The sequence below is a fragment of the Homo sapiens genome, chromosome 15 (assembly GCF_000001405.40).
Source record: "Homo sapiens chromosome 15, GRCh38.p14 Primary Assembly".
NCBI classification, from domain to species: Eukaryota; Metazoa; Chordata; class Mammalia; order Primates; family Hominidae; genus Homo; species Homo sapiens.
In genome coordinates this window covers 83,920,833-83,943,896 of record NC_000015.10, presented here as the reverse complement: position 1 = coordinate 83,943,896, position 23,064 = coordinate 83,920,833, and the positions used below count along the sequence as shown (strand labels likewise).

The window sequence follows — 23,064 nt, the reverse complement described above, 5'->3', positions numbered from 1 at the left end:
TGTGAATAAACTGGGACTACTGTACTTGATTTTGCAAGCAATCAGACTTATGGAAGATTCTGAACAAGCTGGAGACTTGATGGACACAGTGATGGGAACACTATGGGATGTTAGCTAGTCTGGAGATGGGAGAGTAATACAGAAAGATCAAGTGGGCAGTGTAATATAACAGAAAGAACTCTTGGAATAAAGTCAAAACAAGTGGATTCTGCTACTTTTCCAGCTGTGGAGCTTAGGCAGCTTACTTCAGCTATTGGGATTTAATTTCCCCCACCTGAAAAATAAGGCTTCATTACTAGACTGGGTCAAGCCCTGCCAGCACTGAAACGATCTACTAGAATTCTACTCACTGCACTAATTCAAGCTTGCCATGATGAAGGGTAAAATTAACAGCATAAGTGACAGAACACAGAGGAAGTTAAGGCATGGAAGATGTTCAAAATGTTGGAATGACGGGGCTTAATGAATGATTCCACATGGGAGGACACAAGGAAGAGAGGAACCAAAGTGATTCTGAGTTTATCCTGGGATACTATGATCCTGGTAGTTCCAAAAGAAGGGGCTGGTTTGGGAGAATGATGATGATAACACTTTGAATAATATTGAGTAAAAACTGGAAATGAATCATTGTGTGCAGGCCTGGACTACGGAACTTGCACAAACCCGAGAGTGAGTGAGCACCTCCTTAAATGTGGCCCCCTAGGACCCATACTCATCTCACAGTAGTTCCAGCCTGATCTTGTGGAAATATTTAGAAGCTGAAACAAAGGAGGGGCAGAAAAGAAGGGACTATAAAGTTGAGCCTGGCCCTTACCTTCGACCAGTCTCCCACAGCTAAATGTGGAGGACAGTCTGTCCTGGCACAGGACTTGTGAGACGATGCCTTGGGTCCTTGGCACAATTCATCTGAGAGATTCAAAAAGCTGCCATCCGTTAGCAGCTGCCGACAGGTGACTCTTCTGTTCTGAGTTCCCCCGCCACAAGTCCTGGAACACTAAGAAGACAAGAGGGGGTGAGGCGGCAGGCTTGGCCCACTCTATGTTAGTGCAGTGCAGGGCCTCTCACAGTCATAATCACAGAGGGCCCTGGAGTGGCCAGTCTGCCCTACCTGCTGCCATTCTTCAATGTGCCAGCCAGGAGGGCAGTCAAACTGATTGCATGCTTGTAAAGCATGGGGCTTTTCATCTCGGCACTCCTCAGGAGGGGCAGGGGTCTCCCCTGGGTGCAGGCAGTACACATCTCGGGTCTGAATTCCAACTCCACAGGTAGCTGAGCAGGGCCCCCAAGAGCCCACATGCCACCTAAAACAGAAAACAAGTGGGGAAAGTTGAACAGTCCAATAAACCAACGTGCAACCATCAGAGCATGAACAACGTGAAGCTCTCCTCTGGGCTTCCAGACTTCACACCCTGTATACAGATTCTACAGTCACAGCATCTCCATCAATATACGCAATTAAAACACAGAAATATAGTATTTAAAGGCAAGAAATGTCAGGAAAGTGTTTAAAGATCTTTCCCATTTGGGAAAGTCCAGAGTAAAAAGCAGCAGATCTGTTCCCATCCTGTCCTACCACTATATATCAAAAATAAAATCCTGGTTCTGTTTTGAATGGAGCCCCAAGGCAATGATGATTTATATAGGTGTCAAAAGAAATTTTAAATGTTTAAAAGCACACTTCAGGAAATCTTCAGGGCACCTGGCTTCATTATTTGGAATATCCCTAAGAAAATTCTTTAATGTTAGGATTGGATTTACAACATATATATAATGTGATTCCTTTCCAATAAGATCTTGGAAAAATCAGGTTTTCTCATAAAACATCTGTAAAAATGAAAAACCAGGGCAGCTGCTTTCGACACATATTTCCAAGTTGCCTTCAAGGAAGATTCTCCCAATTTACACTCCCACCAGAAGCATTTGAGAGCACCTAGTTGCCCACACCCCTAACCACATTGGAGAATATCATTGAGAAAAGTCTCTGCCCATCTGATGGCTGAAAAATTACACATTATGGTTATTTTAATTTGTGGATATTTAATTAGCAAACATGAATTCTTCACTAGTTACTGTAGAGATACATCATGAGGAAACCATTTTTAAATGTTTAAAATGTTCATAAAAGGATGCTGGCTCCAGGGTAGTGTGTAATAACAGCACACACACAAAAATTAAATTGAATTACATTTTACAAAATGGAAGGAAATCATATAAATGTTTAACAATATAGCAGAAAATAACTGTCCATTCATACAGCACAATGCTAGCAGCCATTAAAATAATAAAGTAGATGTATAGTTATTAACATAGAAATACAGTCATGATATATTTTTAATAGAAAAGAAAAGGTCATAAAATAATTTGTAGAGTATAATCCTATTTTATGCATTTATAAATGCATGCAGAAAAAAATCTGAATAATTATTCATTAAAATGTTGCCAGTGATGATATCTAACTATAGGATTTTTATTTTCTTTATTCTTGCTGATTTTTTCTCTGATTTTTATTAAAATAAGCACTCATATTGGAAAAAATATTATTTCTCTGAAAAAATTAATTAGTATTTAATCTAAAAATGATTCTCAGTTTTTCTCTTTTCTAATTTTCTATTATAAACACCTCCTACTTGTATAAATAAAAATAAAATGAAAAGTAGTATTTAATGCAGATATAATAGGACAAAAGAATAAAAGTTTTATTTATGAAGGAAAAATTTCACAATGAAGATATAATCATACAAGTATGGAGATTAAATATAAAACATAAACTTGTAAAAAGCATGAGCTATGAAGTATAGGAAAAATGGACAAAAAAAATTAAAAAATTTAAAATATTTAAAATACTTTGCTAAACCCTTGGCATATTAACAAGGCAGACATTAATAAGAATATAGGAGATTTAATAATATATTTGAAAATATGGGTAAAATAGATAACTTTCTAAGGAATTACAAAAGTTCCATTCAAGAAAGGGACTGGACCTCACTAGTTTTGTGGTCAAGTCCTACAAATTTTCAAGAAACAGGTGAATTCCCATATTATCTTAAATGTTCCAAAATAAGAAGATGAAAATATTTTATTTTATGCATATTATAAAGCTAGAAAAAATCTGAACACAAAAGCTGACAAATATATATAAAGCAAACTTTTGCATGTGGTTATATATCCTGAATCCTAAATGAAAGTATAAATTCTAAATAAAAAAGAAGCAAATTAATCAACAGATTAAAACAATACAGGGTCTGTGATGTGGTCTGAAGGTTTGTGTCACCAACAAATTCAAATGTTGAAGCCCTAAACCCCAGCATGATGGTATTTAGAGATGGGACCTTTGAGAGGTAATTAGGGTTAGATGGGGACATGAGAGTGGAGCCCTCATGATGGGATTAGTGCCTTTGTAAAAAGAGACACCAGGGAGCTTGCTCTCTCTCCACCATGTGAGGACACAGCAAGACATCTGCTGTCTGCAAGTCAGGAAGAGAGCCCTCACCAAAAACTGAACCCTTTAGTCTTGGACTTTCCAGCCTCCAGACTGTGAGAAAATACAGTTCTGTCTTCGAAGCCACCCTTACGGTATTTTGTTATGGCAGTGTGAGGTGACTAATTCAGTATATTTTCTGACCACAGTGGAACTAAATTAGATAAAGCCCAAATACTTAGAAAGTACGCTGTAATCTTCTAAATTGCGCATGGGCCAAAGAAGAAATCACAAGGGAAAGTAAATAGTATTTTTAAATGCACACTAATAGAAATATCAAATGTCAAAGTTTGTGGAATTTAGCTAAAGCCATGATTAGAAGAAAATCAATAGCCTTAAATGATATATTAAAAAAGTTTGACAATAATAATCTAAGTAACCATTTCAAGAGGTTAAAAAAAGAATAGCAATTACATCCCAAAAAAAGTAGAAGAAAGGAAGCAATAAACATGAGAATAAAATGAATGAATTAGAAAATGAAACAAAAAGTTGGTCCTGGCGGGGTGCGGTGGCTCATGCCTGTAATCCCATCACTTTGGGAGGCTGAGGTGGGCAGGTCACCTGAGGTCAGGAGTTCAAGACCAGCCTGGCCAACATGGTGAAACCCCATCGCCACTGAAAACACAAAAATTTGCTGGGTGTGGTGGTGCACGCCTGTAATCCCAGCTACTTGGTAGGCTGAGGCATGAGAACTGGTTGAACCCAGGAGGCGGAGCTTTCAGTGAGCTGAGATCAGGCCACTGCACTCCAGCCTGGGTGACAGAGCAAGACTCTGTCTAAAAAAAAAAAAAAAGTTGGTCCTTCAAAAGACCAACAAGATTAATAAATTATTGATAAAATATGGAGAAAAAAGAGAGAAGGCACACATTATAAAATCAGGAATTCAAGAAGGGACATTGTGGCATAAAAAAAGTACAATAAGTAATGAAAAACATTATGTCAATAAATTTGAAAGTTTACATGAACTGAAAAAATTCCTACAAAAACCAACTTATCAAAACTAACACACAAGTGAAGAGAAATCGGAATAGTCTTATATCTATTAAGTTAAATTTGTTATTTAAAGTATCTAAAATAAACTCCATGTCAGATGGCTTCCTTGGTGAAATTCTACTAAACATTTAAGGCATAAACAATTCCAACCTTATATAAACTCTCAAAAAAAAAAGAAGAAGAACTTCCCAACTCATTTAAGCCTATGTCACTCATAAACAGATTTAAAAATCCTAAATAAAATATTAGCAATCAAGTGATAAAGTGAAAAATAATGTTACATGGTGACCAATCTGGGTTTATTCTAGGAAGGCAAAATTGGTTCAACCTTGGAAAATCAATCAGTGTCTACGACATAGCAAACTATAGGAAAAAATTCATATGATCATTTCAATAGAGACAGAAAAACATTTGTAAATGTTAACAGATATTCATGATAAAAAACATTTTTAATTTGAATTAGCGCATCCAAAAAAGCAAGGGCTTGGGGGCGGGAAGGTGAGAGAGGGCTGGAGAATAGAGCAAAATATCTAATTGAGCACCCCTTTGTTACAAAAAATAGCAATACCAGTTAAAGAAAGACATAAGGGTAAGACATTCCCCCATACAAATGAAACATCTCAGTTGACCAGAAATCAATGTAAACACACAGTGCTAAAGCACTAAGAAAGTTATGAAACAGAATATGTAAAAAACAAAATATATATTTGAATGTACTGAGAGAATAAACTCTGATAGAGATTTTGAGAATAAGTTAATGATGGGATCATTGAAATTAGGCAAACAAAAAAAAAGTAAGGAGATTGCCAACTCCAGAGAAAAAACTTGCACCCAAAAGAAAATGTAACCATAACAAAAAATTAAATGTCTTCGCTGTGAAATGCTTTTTTTAAAATGACAGCTTTATTGAGATGCAGTTTACATAACATAAAATCTGCCCTTTTAAAGGGTAGCAATGCTCCTCCTATAAAATAGCTCTAGCCTAGTTCTAGGCGTTTTTAGATACTAAACACCTGACCATGGTGGAACACCTGACCATGACCCATCAGATGACCATGTGACAAGCTGCTTATCATAAAGGGGACATTATCTATCTGCAAAGTCATATAGTTAGATGTGACCAGCAGTGGCCCACCACCGAGTGGAAGTGGTATATGGGACCAGGCATTGGTGGTGAGTGCATCACCTATTTAACAACTCTAGACTTAACCAAAATCATTTCCATCTTAACAAATAGTATAAGGGCCTAAAGCACTTTAATTAATCAATCTCTCTGAGTTTTACAAGGTTTTGTTGGACAATATTTCTTTTTTCAAATTGATAAATCAGAAACTATTATTGATTTCCATAGTCAATAAACTTTTTTAGATTAAATATCTTTACAATGTGACAGTAATGGCCACAAGTGTCCAGAAATACCTAACCAGACATGACTTTGGTATGACTTTGTGTTTTCTTTCAATTTAATCTCCCTTAGCTCCTGAAAAATTTATAAACTTAGTTATCCAGCCTATTATTTTTGTGGACCACTTAGCATCTTTCTAGTAAGTTTATTATTAGCTCAAGTTAAGCACAATTAGTTTATACTGCTTATACCTAGGAACCCTGATTAATATAAGGTGATACAAGTTTTAGATTATTTTTGAATTCTAGAAATTTTACATTCAATTAACATGCAAAAAGACAAAATCAATACATAAATTAGTATTTCTGTTCATTTAGCACTGATCCTTGACTTTTAACATACGTAATGATAATTTTTAAACATTTTATTTTAGGTACATGTGCAGATTTGTTATATAGGTAAATTGCATGTCATGGGCATTTGGTGTACAGATTATTTCATCACCCATATAAATAAGCATAGTACCTGGTAGGTACTTTTTCAATCCTCTCCCTTCTCCAACCTTCCACCCTCAAGTAGACCCTGATGTCTGTTGTTCCCTTCTTTGTGTTGATGTATTCTCAATATTTAGCTTCTACTTATAAATGAGGACACGTGGTATTTGGTTTTCTGTTCCTGCATTAGTTCACTTAAGGTAATGATCTCTAGTTCCATTCATGTTGCTGCAAAGGACACGATCTCATTCTTTTTCTATGGCTGCATAATATTCCATGGTGTATATGTACATTTTTTTAAATCCAGTCTACTGTTGATGCGTATTTACATTGATTTCATGTCTTTGCTATTGTGAATAGTGCTGCGGTGAACATACGTGTGCATGTGTCTTTATGGTAGAATGATTTATAATTCTTGGGATATATACCCAATAATGAAATTGCTGGGTCAAACGGTAATTTTTTTAAGTTCTTTGAGAAATTGCCACACTGCTTTCCACAATAGCTGAATTAATTTACATTCCCACCAGCAGCGTATAAATGTTCTCTTTTCTCTGCAACCTCACCAGCATCTGTAATTTTTTGACTTTTTAATAATAGCCATCTGACTGGTGAGAGATGGTATCTCGCTATGGTTTTGATTTGCATTTCTCTAGTGATTAGTGATGTTGAGCATGTTTTCATATGCTTGTTGGCCACATGGAGGTCTTCTTTTGGAAAGTGTCTGTTCACATCATTTGCCCACTTTTTAAAGGGATTTTTGGTTTTTTGCTGAATTTGTTTAAGTTTCTTACAGATTCTAGATATTGAGCTTTCACTGGATGCATAGTTTGCTAATATTTTCTCTGATTCTGTAGGTTGGCTATTTACTCTGTTGATAGTTTCTTTTGCTGTGCAGAAGCTCTTTAGTTTAATTACGTCTCATTTGTCAATTTTTGTTTTTGTCACAATTGCTTTTGGCATCTTTGTCATGAAATCTTTGCCAGGTCCTATGTATAGAATGTTATTTCCTAGGTTATCTTCCAGGGTTTTTATAGCATAACTATAAATGTTTATAACAAAAGTCTACAGTTGTTCAGTATGTCTATCCTTTTATTGATCAAGATGAAAGGATTTCTCAGCTATCTTGAACTACTTTCATCTGTTACTATTGTTAAGAATTCTGTTTTTCCTGACTTTTCCATTCTTCTCATTCTAATTATTTCCTGTGTTTTTGTGAGCATTTATTTTGCTTGTTATAGTTTTTATTCTGTTTTCCCCTCTGTTATATTTTATTTTTAGGTTTACCCTTAGAATTTTAAAGGCCCTATTTAACAACTCTAGACTTAACCAAAATCATTTCCATCTTAACAAATGGTATAAGGGCCTAAAGCACTTTAATTAATCAATCTCTCTGAGTTTTACAAGGTTTTGTTGGACAATATTTCTTTTTTCAAATTGATAAATCAGAAACTATTATTGATTTCCATAGTCAATAAACTTTTTTAGATTAAATATCTTTACAATATACTTCGGTCATCATTCATTCTTATATCTCAGACCTTCCTTCTGGGATCATTTTCCTTCTTAATGAATACATTCTTTAAAATTGTCTTTAGTGAAAATTTGCTGATAGTGCAATTTCCTGGTTTTGTTCACCTAGAATACTTAACATAATATTAGTAAATATTTATTGATTACCTATGATGTGCCAAGCTCTTTTTAAAGTATATGTATTAACTCATTTAATTGTCATATAACCTTACTATAAGACTACTTTGTTGACACCTGCTGCATAAGGAGATACTATTACAATCTGAAAATATCCCTATTTCATCTCTAAAATGTTGTTTTAATAAGTATACAATTCTAGGCTGACAGTGAATTTTTTTTCTGAGCCATTTGAAGATAATGCTTCATTATTTCTCATGAGGAAAAATGGCAGTTTTTGTTATTGTTCCTTTCCTGGATCTTTTCTATATCTCTGACTTTGAGATTTTCTTTGTCTTTAGAGTTCTAAAGTTTAACAACAATGTATCTGAGTGTGTATTTTTTTTCCCGTTTGGGATTTGCTGTGACTCCCAATTCTTAGGTTTCATATTTTTTCATTAATTCTGAAATATTCCCTCTTATTATCTCTTTGATAAGTCTCTTTCTTCTTTTTAGAATCATGAAGTCCTTTTTATCATTTTTCACAGTATAAGGCACTTATTTTTTCTTTTAATATCATTATTTTTTAAAGGCAAAGGAATCACAAGTGAATGCACTAGTCATGATCCATCAGAATGACAGACGCTTATCTACAAGAACATTTCCTAACTTTTTTCTGAATCTGTCACCACTGGGTATTACCGCTATTTTTTTACTTAAAAAGTGGGAGAATTTAATATGATTCTCTCTTCTTTTTCAAAATTGAATTTGTAGAAATGTAAGGGGTACAAGTGCAATTTCATTACATGGATATATTGCAAAGTGATAAAGTCTGGACTTTCCCTGCAACCAACACCAGAATAATGTACATTGTACCTATTAGGTAATTTCTCATTCTTTACCCTCTTCCCACCTGTCTGAGTCTCCAAATTCTATTCCACACTCTATGTTCATGGGTTCACATTATTTAGCTCCCACCTGTAAGTGAGAACATGTGAAATTTGACTTTCGACTTCTGAGTTATTTCACTTAAGATAATGGCCTCCAGTTGCATCCATGTTGCTGCAAAAGACAAGATTTCATTCTTTTTTATGGCTGAATAGTATTCCATTGTGTACATATACCATATTTTCTTTATCCAATCATTTGTTGATGTGATTCTCTTTTCTTAGCATATTTTTGGGGGTATTTTTGGATGAATTATTTTACTTATTAAGTTCTGGAGAAAGGAGTTTAATTTTCATTACTGCATTCAATTATCTCCACCTGGTCTCTCCCTTGACACATGGGGATTATGGGGATTACAATTTAAGATGATATTTCGGTGGGGACACAAAGCCTAACCATATCATTTCATCCCCTCTCGCAAATCTCATGTGCATTTCACATTTCAAAACCAATCATGCCTTCCCACAGTCCCCAAAGCTTTAATTCATTCCAGCATTGGCCTAAAAGTCCAAGTCCAAAGTCTCATCTGAGACAAGGCAAGTCCCCTCTGCCTATAAGCCTGTAAAATGAAAATCAAGTTAGTTACTTCCTAGATATAATGGGGGTACAGGCATTGTGTAAATACATCCATTCCAAATGGGAGAAATTGGCCCAAATGAAGGGGCTACAGGGCCCATGCAAGTCGAAAATTTAGCTGGGCAGTAAAATCTGAAAGCTCTGAAATGATATCCTTTTAACTTCGTGTGTCGCATACAGGTCACACTGATGCAAGAGATGGGCTCCCATGGTCTTGGAAAGCTCCGCCCTTGTGGCTTTGCAGGGTACAGCCCCCCCTCCCAGCTGCTTTCATGGGCTGACGTTGTCTGCAGCTTTTTCAGGAACACAGTGCAAGCTGTCAGTGGATCTACCATTCTGGTGTCTGGAGGATAGTGGCCCTCTTCTCACAGCTCCACTAGGCAGTGTCCCAGTGGGGACTCTGTGTAGGGATTCTGACCCCACATTTCCCTTCTGTATTGCCCCAGCAGAGGTTCTCCATGAAGGCTCCACCCTTACAGCAAACTTCTGCCTGGACATCCTCTGAAATCTAGGCAAAGGCTCCCAAACCTCGATTTTTGCTTCTGTGCACCTGCAGGCCCAACACCACGTGGAAGCCACCAAGGCTTGGGGCTTGCACCCTCTGAAGCAATGGACTGAGCTGTATGTTGGCTCATTTTAGCCATGCCTGGGATGCAGGGCACCAAGTCCTGAGACTGCACAAAGCAGCAAAGGCCCTGGGACTAGAGCATGAAACCATCCTTTCCTCCTAGGCCTCTGGGCCTGTGATGGGAGGGGCTGCCATGAAAACCACTGACGTGCCCTGGAGACATTTCCCCCATTGTCTTGGCAATTAACATTTGGCTCCTTGTTACTTATACAAATTTTTGCAGCAGGCTTGAATTTCTCCTCAGAAAATGGGTTTTTCTTTTCTATTGCATTGTCAGGCTGCAAATTTTCTAAACTTTTATGCTTTGCTTCCCTTTTAAACATAAGTTCCAATTCCAAATCATCTCTTTGTGAATGCATAAAACTAAATGCTTTTTAAGGCACCCAAGTTACCTCTTGAATGCTTTGCTTCTTAGAAATTTCTTCTGCAAGATATCCTATATCACCCCCTCTGGTTTAAAGTTCCACAGACCTGTAGAGCAGGGGAAAAATGCCACCTCTTGTTTTCTTTTTGAAACTCCATTTTTATATATGATAAACCTTCTCAATATTTCCTCTGTATCTACCTTTTGTGGATATTTTACATATTTTATGTATTCTCCATGCTTTATTCTGGGTAATTTTTTCAGCTCTCTCTTCCATTTTACCTGTTTACTCCAGCACATAACTTTTGAATTTCAATCACTGTATTTTTAACTTCTAGATATTCTATTAGTGGAACCATATAAACTGCCAATATTTGACCATTTTTGACCAAATAGAAAGTTTCAGATGGTTCAATGTGATAATTGGTTCTTCTAAACAATCTTCCAAGTATTTTTGATAGTTTATTGTTCATAGCGTAGATTTTTAATTTCCTGTTTTATATATGTAAACATTTTAAATAAATACGTTTATATTCTGTACCTGATAATTCCAATTTACGATGCTCTGTGTATCTGATTCTGTTTTTTCCCCCACTGACTCTCACACATTGTTTCTTCATGTGTTTTTAAAAAATTTTGATTATGAGCTAATGCTCATTATGTCTTTGTGGGAATTTTAAGGTCTGGGTAGAAGATACATTCCTCCTTGCAGGATTTACATCACCTCTATCAAGACCAGTATGAATTAATTTTTTGGATCACATAGAGTGAATATAAACCCTACTCCTACATAAAGGGCTACTTGTAGCTCTTAGATTCTCAGGGGAGCCTTTCTGATTCCTTCCATTCAGAGGCAGACCTGAGACAGATAGTTCTCCTTGCAATCTCTCTTTACAGGATGGATTTCATTTTTTGAATTTGCCTTTCCATTGAGGTAGACCCTGGCTTTGTATGGGGAATCTCCATTCTATTCCTTACTTTCTGAAGGTCTAAGGACTTGTCTATCAGGCAAAAGATCTTAAAGCCAAAAAGTGTAGGTTACTGAGACTGACAACTGTCCCCACTAAGGCAATGCTTCAGCTTGTTTTTGTCTTCTGAGGATTTCTCTTACTTTCTTACAAGCTTAGTTCTGCATTTCAAGATATGTTTTACATATTTTACCCAGTATTTTAGAGGTATTTAGCAAAAAGCCTTTAAGGATATCAAGTCCATCATGTGGTTAGAAACTGATGTATACAGTCACATACTTGAAATAATAGTTCAGCAAGTTTAGCTCTATGGTGATCATGATATTCCCTCAGTATTCTGAAGATATTATTCCTTTGTCTTCCAGAAACTCCAGTTGTTGATAAGTTGTTTGTAGTTAATCTGTTTTTCATGAGTGGTAGCTTTTAAGATTTTCTTATCGTCCCTGATTTTCTGTAGTTTCACTATTTCATATCTATGTAGGGATTTATTTTCATTTGTTTCTCTTGATACTAGGAGTGGATATTTTTTCCTAAGTTTTAGTAAACAGTTTACTTCATATCTTCATTCTCTGACGTTACTTCCATATTTCTTAATTTTCTTCCCTTTCCCCAAATCATCAACTATTTTTCTTTTATCTTAGAAACTGAACTGTCATTTGCTACAATTGCTTTGGGACCTCAAGCTCCAAATAACCACAAGTGCAGCTCCATTCACCACCTCATGTTTCCATTCCTTTCCTAGCCCAGGTAGTTGTTTTCTTACTTGTGTCTTTGATAGGCCCCCTTTTATACTGCATCTACCATTGATCTGTATTTGGAACAGAATATGATGTTACAACACCATCTTAATTGGAAGTCTATCAATTACTTAGACTATAATTGATAATATCTAAATTCCAGAAGTTTTGAATGTGAGTGAAGTCACCGAAAGTAGATACATGGGTCATATTTGGATGACAATTGGACTACATAGCTAAATAATCAGAAGGTTTCTGTTTCATGATTAAAACAATTCAGCTTAAATTTGTAAGTTTATTGATGTGACTTCAGGATGATCATCTTTTGAGCAAGTGTATAGCTAGATAAATCAATTATAGTCACAAGGAACTGGAGATGGAGCTGTTTTTATTTAAGAAATGGGCAACAATTTCTTATTCACAGACAATGAACTCAATAAAGAATTGTTTTTTATATCAAGAAATAGGTAACAAGCTGGTACAGAAACACATCACTATTGCCTCTTGCTTTCCTCCTTTCTTCCCTAGCAGTGTTGAATCCTGTTAGAGAAGAAGGCTCTCCTCAGACTAGCAGGACCATTATGTAACCCAGCATGCTTCTACAAGCTGCTGGCTCTCTCCTGGAAAAAGCAAACTCCATAAATAGCAGGCACTCAGCAGTTATAGGATAGATCAGGGGGAGTAACCCCATAAAAGCAAATAAACATCCAACACCCCACCTTGGAGAGCCCAGGCTAATACATCAAATACATTTGCCTTTGGGTAAATAAAGATCCACTGGCTGTTCAACCCAATCTCAGTGGTAAGTTTCACCCTGGGGTAATATTTTACTGCTATTGCCCTTGGAGTCAGTAAATATTTGTATGGAAAATATTATGCAACACACTGTTCCTGTTATTCCTACACCACTAGTTTCTAGAACCTAAAACATTTTTGTAAACTTACCTTTATTTTGGCATCAAATCTTTGTCTCTGCTGGTTTTTTTCCAATATAACTCTCAACCTTTGAAAAGTTTATTAAATTTGCAACTTTGAAATGAGGAATAGTATTTCCTTTCACATAAAAACAGACTCTTAATTTTGCAAAGTGGCCAAGACATGTTGTCTGCTCTATTATTCCTAGCTTGGAAGCTCTGTGGGCAAGAGATTGCTGAGGAAGAGAATGTGTAAGAACTCTTGCTGAGGCACAGTGATGAGAGAAAGGGGATACAGTACACAGGCTGATGCATGAATAAACCAGTAAGCTTTCTTCAGTAAATTTAAGAAACAATTTCTAGATTTGTTGCTAAATCTTGTTCTGGTTTGGTGGGCAATGGAAGAGCACTGACTAAACTCAACCCTGCCTTGACCTCCTGGGCAGGTCAAACCAAGGCTGTCATCCTTAGAACTAAAACCCCAAGCACGTCACACTACTCAGGTATGGACATAAGGATTGTTACAAAAGGACTAGACATAATTTGAAGACATGAGTGAAAAATGCAACCTGAAAGCACTACTCAAAAATGAAAGACTGGAGCTTAGGGGACCTCGGTGATCATAAAGTCCAACACCTTTCTTCATTATTCATATTAAGAAACAGGGTCCAGAGAGCTAAGGAACTCACCTGAAATTCCTTGAGAGACGTGGAACTGAGGCTTTATCCCATGTCCCTGATCCATTTCCAATTTTCTTTTGACTTTTGAGAGTTCCTTGCTATCAAGTGTCTCAGGTAAGGATCCTATCTCACATTCTGTTGAACTTCATTTTACCAGTGAGAAGTGAGCCAATGATTACTTTTATGGGAGAGAATTAACTAATGTCATAGTAGCGAAGGTCTCTAAGAGGCAGAGGGCATAGTGTGTGCAAAGGTCCAAATGGCATGAATGAGCAGGAGTGTGGGTCATGGTGCATAATTTACTGTGGCTGCTGAGCAAGTTCCTTAGGGTGAGTCTGAGTGTGTGTGTGTGTGTGTGTCTGTCTCTGTCTCTCTGTCTCTCTCTGTCTCTCTGTGTGTGTGTGTGTCTGTCTCTGTCTCTCTGTCTCTCTCTGTCTCTCTCTGTGTGTGTGTGTGTGTGTGGTAGAGGTGACAGGAGATGTGGTTTAAGAGTTGGATCCAGGGTCACAAAGGCATTTATATGCTGTTATAGGTTGAATTGCCTTCCCACAAAAGATGTGGAAGTTATAACCCCCAGTACTTGTGACTGTGACCTTATTCGGAAATAAGTTCTTTGCAGATGATCAAGAGGAGGTCATTAGAGTAGGCCCTACTCCAATATAAGTGATGTCCTTATGAAAAGGAGAAGTGTGGACACAAAGACACAGAGAAGGAAAACAATATGAAATCACAGGGACAATGCCATTCACAAGCCAAAGAATGCCAGAGGTTACCTGCCAGGAGAAAGCCATGGAACCAAGGCTCTCTCACAGCTCTAAGAAAGAATCAACGCCGCGGACACCTTAATTTTGGACTTCTGGTCTCCAGATCTGGGAGATGATAAATTTCTGTTCTTTAAGCCACTCTGTTTCTGGTGCTTTGTTATGGCAGCCCCGGCAAAAGAAACACATGCCAAAGTAGAGAATGTGGGTTTTAATCCATAGATAAAGGAGTGTTGTTGAAGGTTTCATGCAGAGGCACACACAGTCATTTTGCAACTTAGAAAGATAAAGATCTTTCATAGTCGTGTGTGCACATGGATCAGAGCAGGAAACAGGAGAGTCAAGAGTTCATTTAGAAACTTGTGAAACAGTTCAGGTAAAACATATCTGAATTAAGGCAGTGGCAGTTACACATGATTAGGACAAATTCATCAAGTACTGAAAAGTAAATGGTCAAGAATCTCAAGTTCATATTATCAGAGAACAAAAACCATAAAAGGCCACTTTATGTGATTCCACTCAAAAAAGAAACTCAGGTTTCATGATAAAGTGGGGGAAAATGTTTGATTTAGTCTTGAAAATTTAAATTAAAAATTATAAAATCAAGTTATCTTATCTTGAACATAATTGTGGTTGTAATGCCAACTTTATGCACTAATTCTTAGAATGGCAGAGAATGAATTGTAAATTGTTTCATATTTTGGCTTTCTTTTCTGAAAAAATTATATGATGACACATTATGGCTACCTTCACTTCCAGAGCAAGAGTGGAACAGTTATTTTCACAAAAATAAAACTGAGAGTTTCATCAGTGTTCTTAGGGCCTCTCTTTTCATCCTGTGATATGCAAATCATTCTCATTTGAAGTGCCTTTCATGTTGTTATCATTTTCGTTTTCTCTGTTTTAGTTGTTACTTGGCTAGAAACAGGACAGAACTCTGGTGAAGACTAGCTTCATGTCAATCTGCAGTAAGATTTAAATCTAGAAATAAAATATACCCCAACATATTGGGTTGTATTTTCTTCTTTTTACTCTTCTTTGTTAATGGCTAGCAATATATCATAGCTAGCTGGGTGTGGTCACTCATGCCTATAATCCTAGGGGCTTGGAAGGTTGAGATGAGAGGATGTCTTGAGCCCAGGAGGTCAAGGCTGTAGTGAGCCATGACTGCACCACTGCACTCCAGCTTAGATGACAGAGAAAAACCTAATCTCTAAAAACATTTAAAAATTTTTAAAAATTAGTGATGCACATGGCTCATTCCTGTAATCCCAGCAACTTGGGAGGCTGAGGCAGGAGGATCACTTGACCCCAGAAGTTCAAGGCTGCAGTGAACTGTGATCATACCGTTGCACTCCAGCCTGAGCAACAGAGAGAGACCCTATCTCAAAAAAAAGAAAAAAAAAAAATCACACAGCCAAATTGTAGTCACAATTTTAAGTCTGTGTAAATTCGAAACCATTTTTTTTTAGTCATCTTTCTAGAAAGAGAGTACTGGCTAGAGTAGACAAAGGGGATGGCTAGTGGAGGGACTGGAAATCAGGAGACCAGCTCTACTAGTAGCATAATATGTGGGCTCCCACAGCCTCCATTTGGCCATCCAGAAAAGGCAGAATTTGGACTAGATGACATCTCATGAGAAATACTCCATGTTTGGGCTTTATGTTGTAGTATGCAATTTATTTAGTGTATGCTCATGGAGAAGTCATCAATTACCTAAAAATCCTAAATTTCAGTTTTCATATACAGAAAACAAGAGCCTTTATTCATTATATATTTATTAGCACATTTCTGAAAGAATGTGAAGCCATTAATAAGAATAGTACTAGCTACTTTTCACCAAAAAGAGACTTAGGGCAGTGATTTTCAAATTGTTGCACAGCAAAACACCTGATACAGTGCAGGTGTAAGTTGTGAACAGGTTCATCCATTGTTTTAAATAAAACAGTACATAGAAAAGGATTCATGGGCCAGGTGCGGTGGCTCACGTCTGTAATCCCAGCACTTTGGGAGGCTGAGGTGGGCGGATCACTCGAGGTCAGTTTGAGATCGGCCTGGCCAACATGGCAAAATCCCATCTCTACGAAAAATACAAAAATTAGCTGGGTGTGGTGGCATATGCCTGTAGTCTCAGCTACTCAGGAAGCTCAGGCAGGAGAATCACTTGAACCCAGGAGGCAGAGGCTGCAGTGGGCCGAGACTGTGCCATTGCACTCCAGCCTGGGCAACAGAGTGAGACTCCGTCTCAAAAAAAAAAAAAGAAAGAAAGAAAGAAAAGGATTTATGGATTGTAGAACTCTTAAAACTGCTCTGCAAAATACTGGAGCATGGGGGCCATGGTTGGGAAAGCAGTATTTCTGAAGGAGACACTGAGCATTTTTGGAAAAGACAGTAGAGGTGAACTGATATTCATGGCTACAAATATAGAAAGGGATTCAACTATTTTGATAAAGAATGTTGTTGGTGGCCAGGTGCGGTGGCTTATGCCTGTAATCCCAACATTTTGGGAGGCCGAGGCAGGTGGATCACCTGAGGTCAGGAGTTTGAGACCAGCCTAGCCAACATGGTGAAACCCCATCTCTACTAAAAATACAAAAAATTATCTGGGCATGGTGGCAGGCACCTGTGACCCCAGCTACTCAGGAGGCTGAGGCAGGAGAATCGCTTGAACCCAGGAGGTGGAAGTTGCAGCGAGCCATAAGATTGTGCCATTGCACTCCAGCCTGGGCAACAAGAGCGAAACTCCGTCTCAAAAAAAAAAAAAAAAAGTTGTTAGTGTCATATAAACAATAAAAAGGAAACGATGATATTTGCAGATTCACATGGAGGCAGGCTTTAAATCGAGGATGCTCAAATGAAATTGTGGTGGGCTGGATCCCTAGTTTTAAATAATTTTCTTAAAAGATTTATACTTGATCTAATTGTCTCCATTTTGTTCTCCCCATTTCTGTGTTTGAGTAATCTTTTTAAAATGTAAATCTGATGTACCACTTCATTGCTCAAACCCTCCAATGACTTCCCACTGACTCTCTGGATGAAGTCCAAGTGCTTACCGTGGCCCTTGCCCATTCCTATCTCATCTGATGACACACTGATTTCCTTTCTCTCCAGTTCCTTGAGCATACTGAGCTCTTTCTTTCCTTGGGGCCTTTGCACATACTGTTCCCTCTGCCCAGAGCACTCATTCCTCTACACCTCTCCTGGCAGATTCCTGCCTGTGTTTATGTCTTAAATAACTTCCTCAGGAATGACCTGCACCAACCTCCCCGGCTTCCCTGCCCCACCAATTTATTTTAGGTCCTCATAGTATTCGTGCTCTTGAGACGCTGTTTATTTAACATCTACCTCGTGCCCCATCCCCAGATTAAATTTAAGAAAACAGTTTACAAAATGATATAGTACATGATTCCAATGTCATGGGGAAATATGTTGAGAAATATAACTATGTTTTGCCCCCTCCCTGTATTTTCCCCTGTGCCTTGCTCCTGTACAGGAAGGTGGTCATCTGTTTCCATCTTCACTGCCTCAGGGAAGGGATGTAGCAGGGGAGGAAAACAGAAACCCCAGCTTTTCCAAAAGTATCTAATTCAGTGGTTCCAATAATAGAACAGAAAAAACTGAGAAACATAGATAAATAATTCGGATTACTACGTGCCATTACACAAGTGCTATTTCTCTAAAGATAGAAGGGTCATTCCAAGTGAATATATATTCAACACTGCTCCAATATATTTGCTATTCTTGGAAAAGTCTGGACATACTTGACAAAGTAGATGTCTTGACTCCTAGTTACATCAAACCTTCCTAAAACCCCTCCTTTATTGTCTCTTCTGCAATCTGCATTCTAGCGTGGATTACTCTGGAATGCTGTAAACCTGGGGGTGGGAGTGGGAGGTGGCAGGGAAACAGATTTCCCAGTGCTGTTTCTGGGCCTTGCTTTGCTCACCAAGGTAAGTCTACAGGCCTCTACTGCATCACCTCAACCACGCACAGCCAGATGGCTCTAACATAAGCCAACAAGCTCCCAGTACTTCTGTAGGTCTCAATGGAAGCGAGAAATATGGTAATGGATACAAAACACTGTATCCTACATTACATGGCGGGTGTGATTTCACCAAGGATGAGGCACACACTGGCCTCCTCCTGAGACTGTGCGGGCTGGAGAACAAGACTCTCAAGGAAGGGGTGCCCATCTCCAGGATGTGGAGGGCCTGATTTCTAGGGGGACCTAACGTATCAATCCCCACCTTCACCACCCTTATGCAATCAAGGCAGGAGAAACATCATAGCCAACAGATTGCATGGAATTAAAATCAGAAGGGTCAAGAGAATTCCAGAAGCACAACTTATTTTCTGAATAAACATAAAAGACACTTATCCTTAGACTAATACGGCAGGAGGACACAATAACCTCCCTCAATCACTGAGAGTCCTAAACATAGCAGAACTTGCTTTAGCAAATGAAAGGATTTCATTAGCGGGGCAAACGACTAAGAGGTAGGAGAGGCAGGAGGTTACTGGGAATGGGCTTAACATTTTCGGCAACTAATTCTTCTCGCAGAAGAGGGGTCACAAGATAATAAGGGTAAAGGAGAGAGAAAGGAAAAGACTGGGGGCTATATTCAGAAAGGTCTTGTGTGAGAAACCAATGATGTTCAGTTATCACCCTCTGTAGCCAGCAGCACCAGGGACACAGGAACATGAGAACAAGCTACTTCTCTTCTGATAAAATTCCTCAGGATCTTACCAGGACTTAAGCAAGGAAGCAGATTAACTTTTAAGGTAAACCTATCAGCCAAAGAGATCAAGAAGATCACCCTCACCTACTCATTGGGGTTTATAATATTATACCCCACAATCTGAGATCCAAGGCAAGTCAATGGGAAGGTAATAACACATCAGTATGAGTGCTAGATATCAAACAGGAGATTACACAGTCACTCAACAAATATGGATTAAGCACCTACTGTGTACCAATGTTAACTCTAATGCAAATCCTGTGCTTTCTGATGGGATATTAAGGGAAGAAGTGCCCTGGAGGAAACAGGGAGGAGAAAGAGAACAAATCCACTGATCTCATGGTTTTATGGGTAGCAGGCCAGTTTATGTTCATTCGTGTTCGATGCAAACAAAAGTCAGCCTGAAGAGCATTCCTGTGCAACATGGCTGCATCTGAGCACCTAGGCAAGAATCTGGCTGGAGCATAACTTGAGCAAAGAGAGCTCTGAAGCAGGCTTAGCACATCTACCTTGGGTGAAGCCACAAGTCTGCACTTAGGTGGGTTTCTCTGCAGGGAGGGTGTTACCACCCGGACACGGTATATACCAGGAACACAAGACAGCACATACCTGGGGGGACAGGGCTCTGTGTTACAGGCCTGGCTCATGGCTGGAGGACGGTGGACCATATCACACAAGCTGTCATTGACTGTCTGCTGGGTCTGGATATGTAAGCACACTGCTATGGCTTCTTGATGGCCTGCAGGTTAGAAAGAGGAAAAAATGCAAATGACATGGAATAATTTATTGTGGAAAAAAGAAAATAGAGTCTTAGGTCTTCTCATTCTTAGCATACTGCCCTTTTGACTATCATAGGGCTGCAGGCTGCATTTCAGGGTACACCTGGGAACAAACAACTTTGCATTATCCAAAGTCTCCTAGTTTATGATATTCCCTTATTCACCTTTTAAATTCAGTCCCTTTACTCCCTCTCTCCCAAATCTACTTACCTTGAAACATTCAAGAGCATCCCAACTCCCCATCCACCCTTGGACTTATCTGCATTCCAAATGTACTCAAAGCTAGGAGTTCCCCCAAATAAGCCATCAAGGTGTTCCTTCCAAACAGTCACAATAGTTTCCTTAAGAGGAATTTTTGAATCAGCTTCATAAGAATAACACTTTCTCTATATCACTGCATATGTGCTAAATCTGGCAGACACACAACTCCTCAAAATTTTAATTATGATTTGAGTTCCTGTTCACTATGACTGTAATTTGTAACGTTTCTATTGCTAGGAAAAACAATAACAATACCTCCTATTTGGAAAGTGTACAAAGTGCTTTCACAATAATCAGTGAGGTCAAAAGAATAGTATTATTACCTCCATTTTATTAATTTAATACTAAGGAAACTGAGGTCTAGAGAGAAACTAAGACAGCAAAAATGTGGTAGATTCAAGCCTAAAAATTAAATTCCCTGCCTCCTAATTCAGTGATCTTTCTTTTGTACATACTCTAGGGATTCTAAAATGCAATACAGCCAAAAAGTACAAGACTGCTCCTTGTGAAAATATGAAATTTCACAAGCATATTTTCCCTTTGGGGCCAGACAGGTCTGTCTGACCCCAAAGCCTATGTTCTCAACCAGTATTCTTTGTCCGCTGGGACAAAAAAAATTATTGGAAAATCAGACGGAACAAGATGTAAATCAAACTTTTGATTAAAAAGTCACAAACAAACTGTAATAGCAACTGACTATGTTATTTGAAATATGCAAATGCATTCATTTTCATGCAAGAATGTGTGTTCCATTATGTTACTAGGTTGTGGTTCTTTTTTCAAATGCCATGTTTCAATTCAACCATTTTACAGTATTTTACAGGATGTAGTATTGGCCAAAAATACTTCTAAAATATATATTTGTGATGTTCAGTTCTTTCTAATAAATTTTCTCCTGCTGTCTTCAGTTGTAATTTTATGTTCCCTGCCATGGCAGGATGCAGTATTAAATCTGCATGTATCTTCTATGAACTTTTAAAATAAACATTGGCTAACGTGAGATATAAGAAGGCATTGCTACAACTTAATAACTCTAGGTTTTATTTGCAAATATCAAAACGTAGTTACCTTGTAGAGGTTTAAGTGTTCATTTTCTAGTATGTTTCATTTTTTTTAAATCTGAGAAAAATCCAGTTAACTTTCAAATATATTTTAATTTATAACAGAAATTCTCTAGAAATTTTTATTACAGAGACTATTTTGGAACATTTTCTGAATAAGTGGGCCTTAAAGCCCCATTATAACCCATTCTGGGTGGAATTGTACAACACTCATGACACACTTTTCTGTCTTAAAGCAAGTTTACTGAAAATAATTTATAAGTTTAATAGGTGTTTAGGATACTTATTGAGGTAGAGTATATTTTGAAAAATGGCCACAAAATATCTCCCATCCCATACATTGGTCCTACAATGTTACTTAGACACTTCTCACCTTAAAAGATCTGATTAAGCATTTACTTTCAAAAATTAAAGTTAAAAAAGGAAAAATTATAAAAATAAGTTTACCTCATCTTATAACAAAATTTAGGTAATAATTACAACTATGAATTTAGGACATAATACATCAAGTGTTGAAACGTCAGCATCATTTTTTGAATAAATTCCTTTTGTAGCATGAGGCAACATCCCTTACTTCACATATGACTTTTGCAGTGTTATCATGAAAGTGCCTTTTTTTTTAGAAAAAGAAAAACCTATATAGCTTGTGGCAACATAGTGAGACCCCATCTCTAAAAAAAAAATACAAAAATTAGCTGGGTGTGGTGGGTGTGCCTATAGTCCCAGCTACTCGGGGGGCTGGGGTGAGAGGATCACTTCAGCCCAGGAGGCTGGGGCTGCAGCAAGCTATGATTGTACCAGTGCAGTCCAGCCTGGGCACAGAGAAAGACTCTGTCTCAAAATACATACATATTTTTTATCCTTCATCAAGAAATAAATTAATATTTAAAGGGTAAAAACACAGACTCCAAGAGAAGCAGCAGAGCCAATATATAAGCTGACATGTTCTTTTTGCTTGGTTGGGTTTCTGCCATTTGCAAACAACAGTCTTGACTACTTCAATATGTCAAATAACATAACACACACATACACACATAGTGTAAGAATACCAGGAGAGATTTTTTAAAATCCATAGTCAGAGCCTTTTATGTGCCAATCAGTATTTAATATGCCAAGTTGTAAAATAAATAAGGAAAAATAATTTGTGTAAGAAAATTATGTTGCTTTAAAAATCAAGTAGTCTTGGGCCCTAGAAATAGATACACTATGCTTTCTTGAAGCATCCGTGGAACATTAACAAAAACGGATCCTCTATTAGTCTAGGAAACTGCAGTAAGTTTCAAAAGTCATAAATTATGCAGGTAACATTCTCGGACTATAATATAGTCCAACATAAGTGAATAATAAACAATTGAACTCCCCAACTCCACACACTAGAATTTGTATAAAGTCCTAGGCCAAAGAGTAAATAGATTACACATTATTTGTGGCAGGAAAAGGGAGAACAGGGAGGCTTACAGCCACTTCAGACTCGATGAACAACTCTAGAAAATAAATTTCAGTATCCTCATGAAATGGATAGTTTTTGTCCCAAGTGAATCTAAATTATGTAATTTATTTAAAAATTATTATAAGAACTTGGATTGAATATAACAATAAGTGGGGGGAAACTTGAAAATAATGTTAAAGATGGAGCCATGATGCTCCCCCTCAATCCCAAAAACAGGACAAGATTTAGAGAGTTGTAGGAACTAGCACTTTCAAACATT

At 37.7% G+C, this 23,064-nt stretch overlaps 1 protein-coding gene across 12 annotated transcripts in view, besides 2 other annotated features; it reads right to left on the bottom strand.

Moving 5' to 3' along the window:
• The window catches only part of ADAMTSL3 (ADAMTS like 3), a 385,720-nt gene that overhangs the window by 95,946 nt on the left and 266,710 nt on the right, over positions 1-23,064 (bottom strand). For all 12 annotated transcript variants that reach the window (XM_011521823.3, XM_017022434.2, XM_011521822.3 and 9 more), the window contains 3 exons: positions 19,864-19,993; positions 1,109-1,301; positions 815-994 (listed from right to left, as the gene is read on the bottom strand). In XM_011521823.3, the coding sequence (XP_011520125.1) occupies positions 815-994; positions 1,109-1,301; positions 19,864-19,993 (503 nt within the window). The remainder of the gene's footprint in view (positions 1-814; positions 995-1,108; positions 1,302-19,863; positions 19,994-23,064) is intronic.
• Positions 15,339-15,538: an enhancer, noted in NCBI's record as "active region_9978". NCBI's record gives its function as "activates an Ori minimal core promoter by ATAC-STARR-seq in GM12878 lymphoblastoid cells {active_cell/tissue: GM12878}" and the evidence as "EXISTENCE:reporter gene assay evidence [ECO:0000049][PMID:35858748]".
• Positions 15,559-15,728: an enhancer, noted in NCBI's record as "active region_9977". NCBI's record gives its function as "activates an Ori minimal core promoter by ATAC-STARR-seq in GM12878 lymphoblastoid cells {active_cell/tissue: GM12878}" and the evidence as "EXISTENCE:reporter gene assay evidence [ECO:0000049][PMID:35858748]".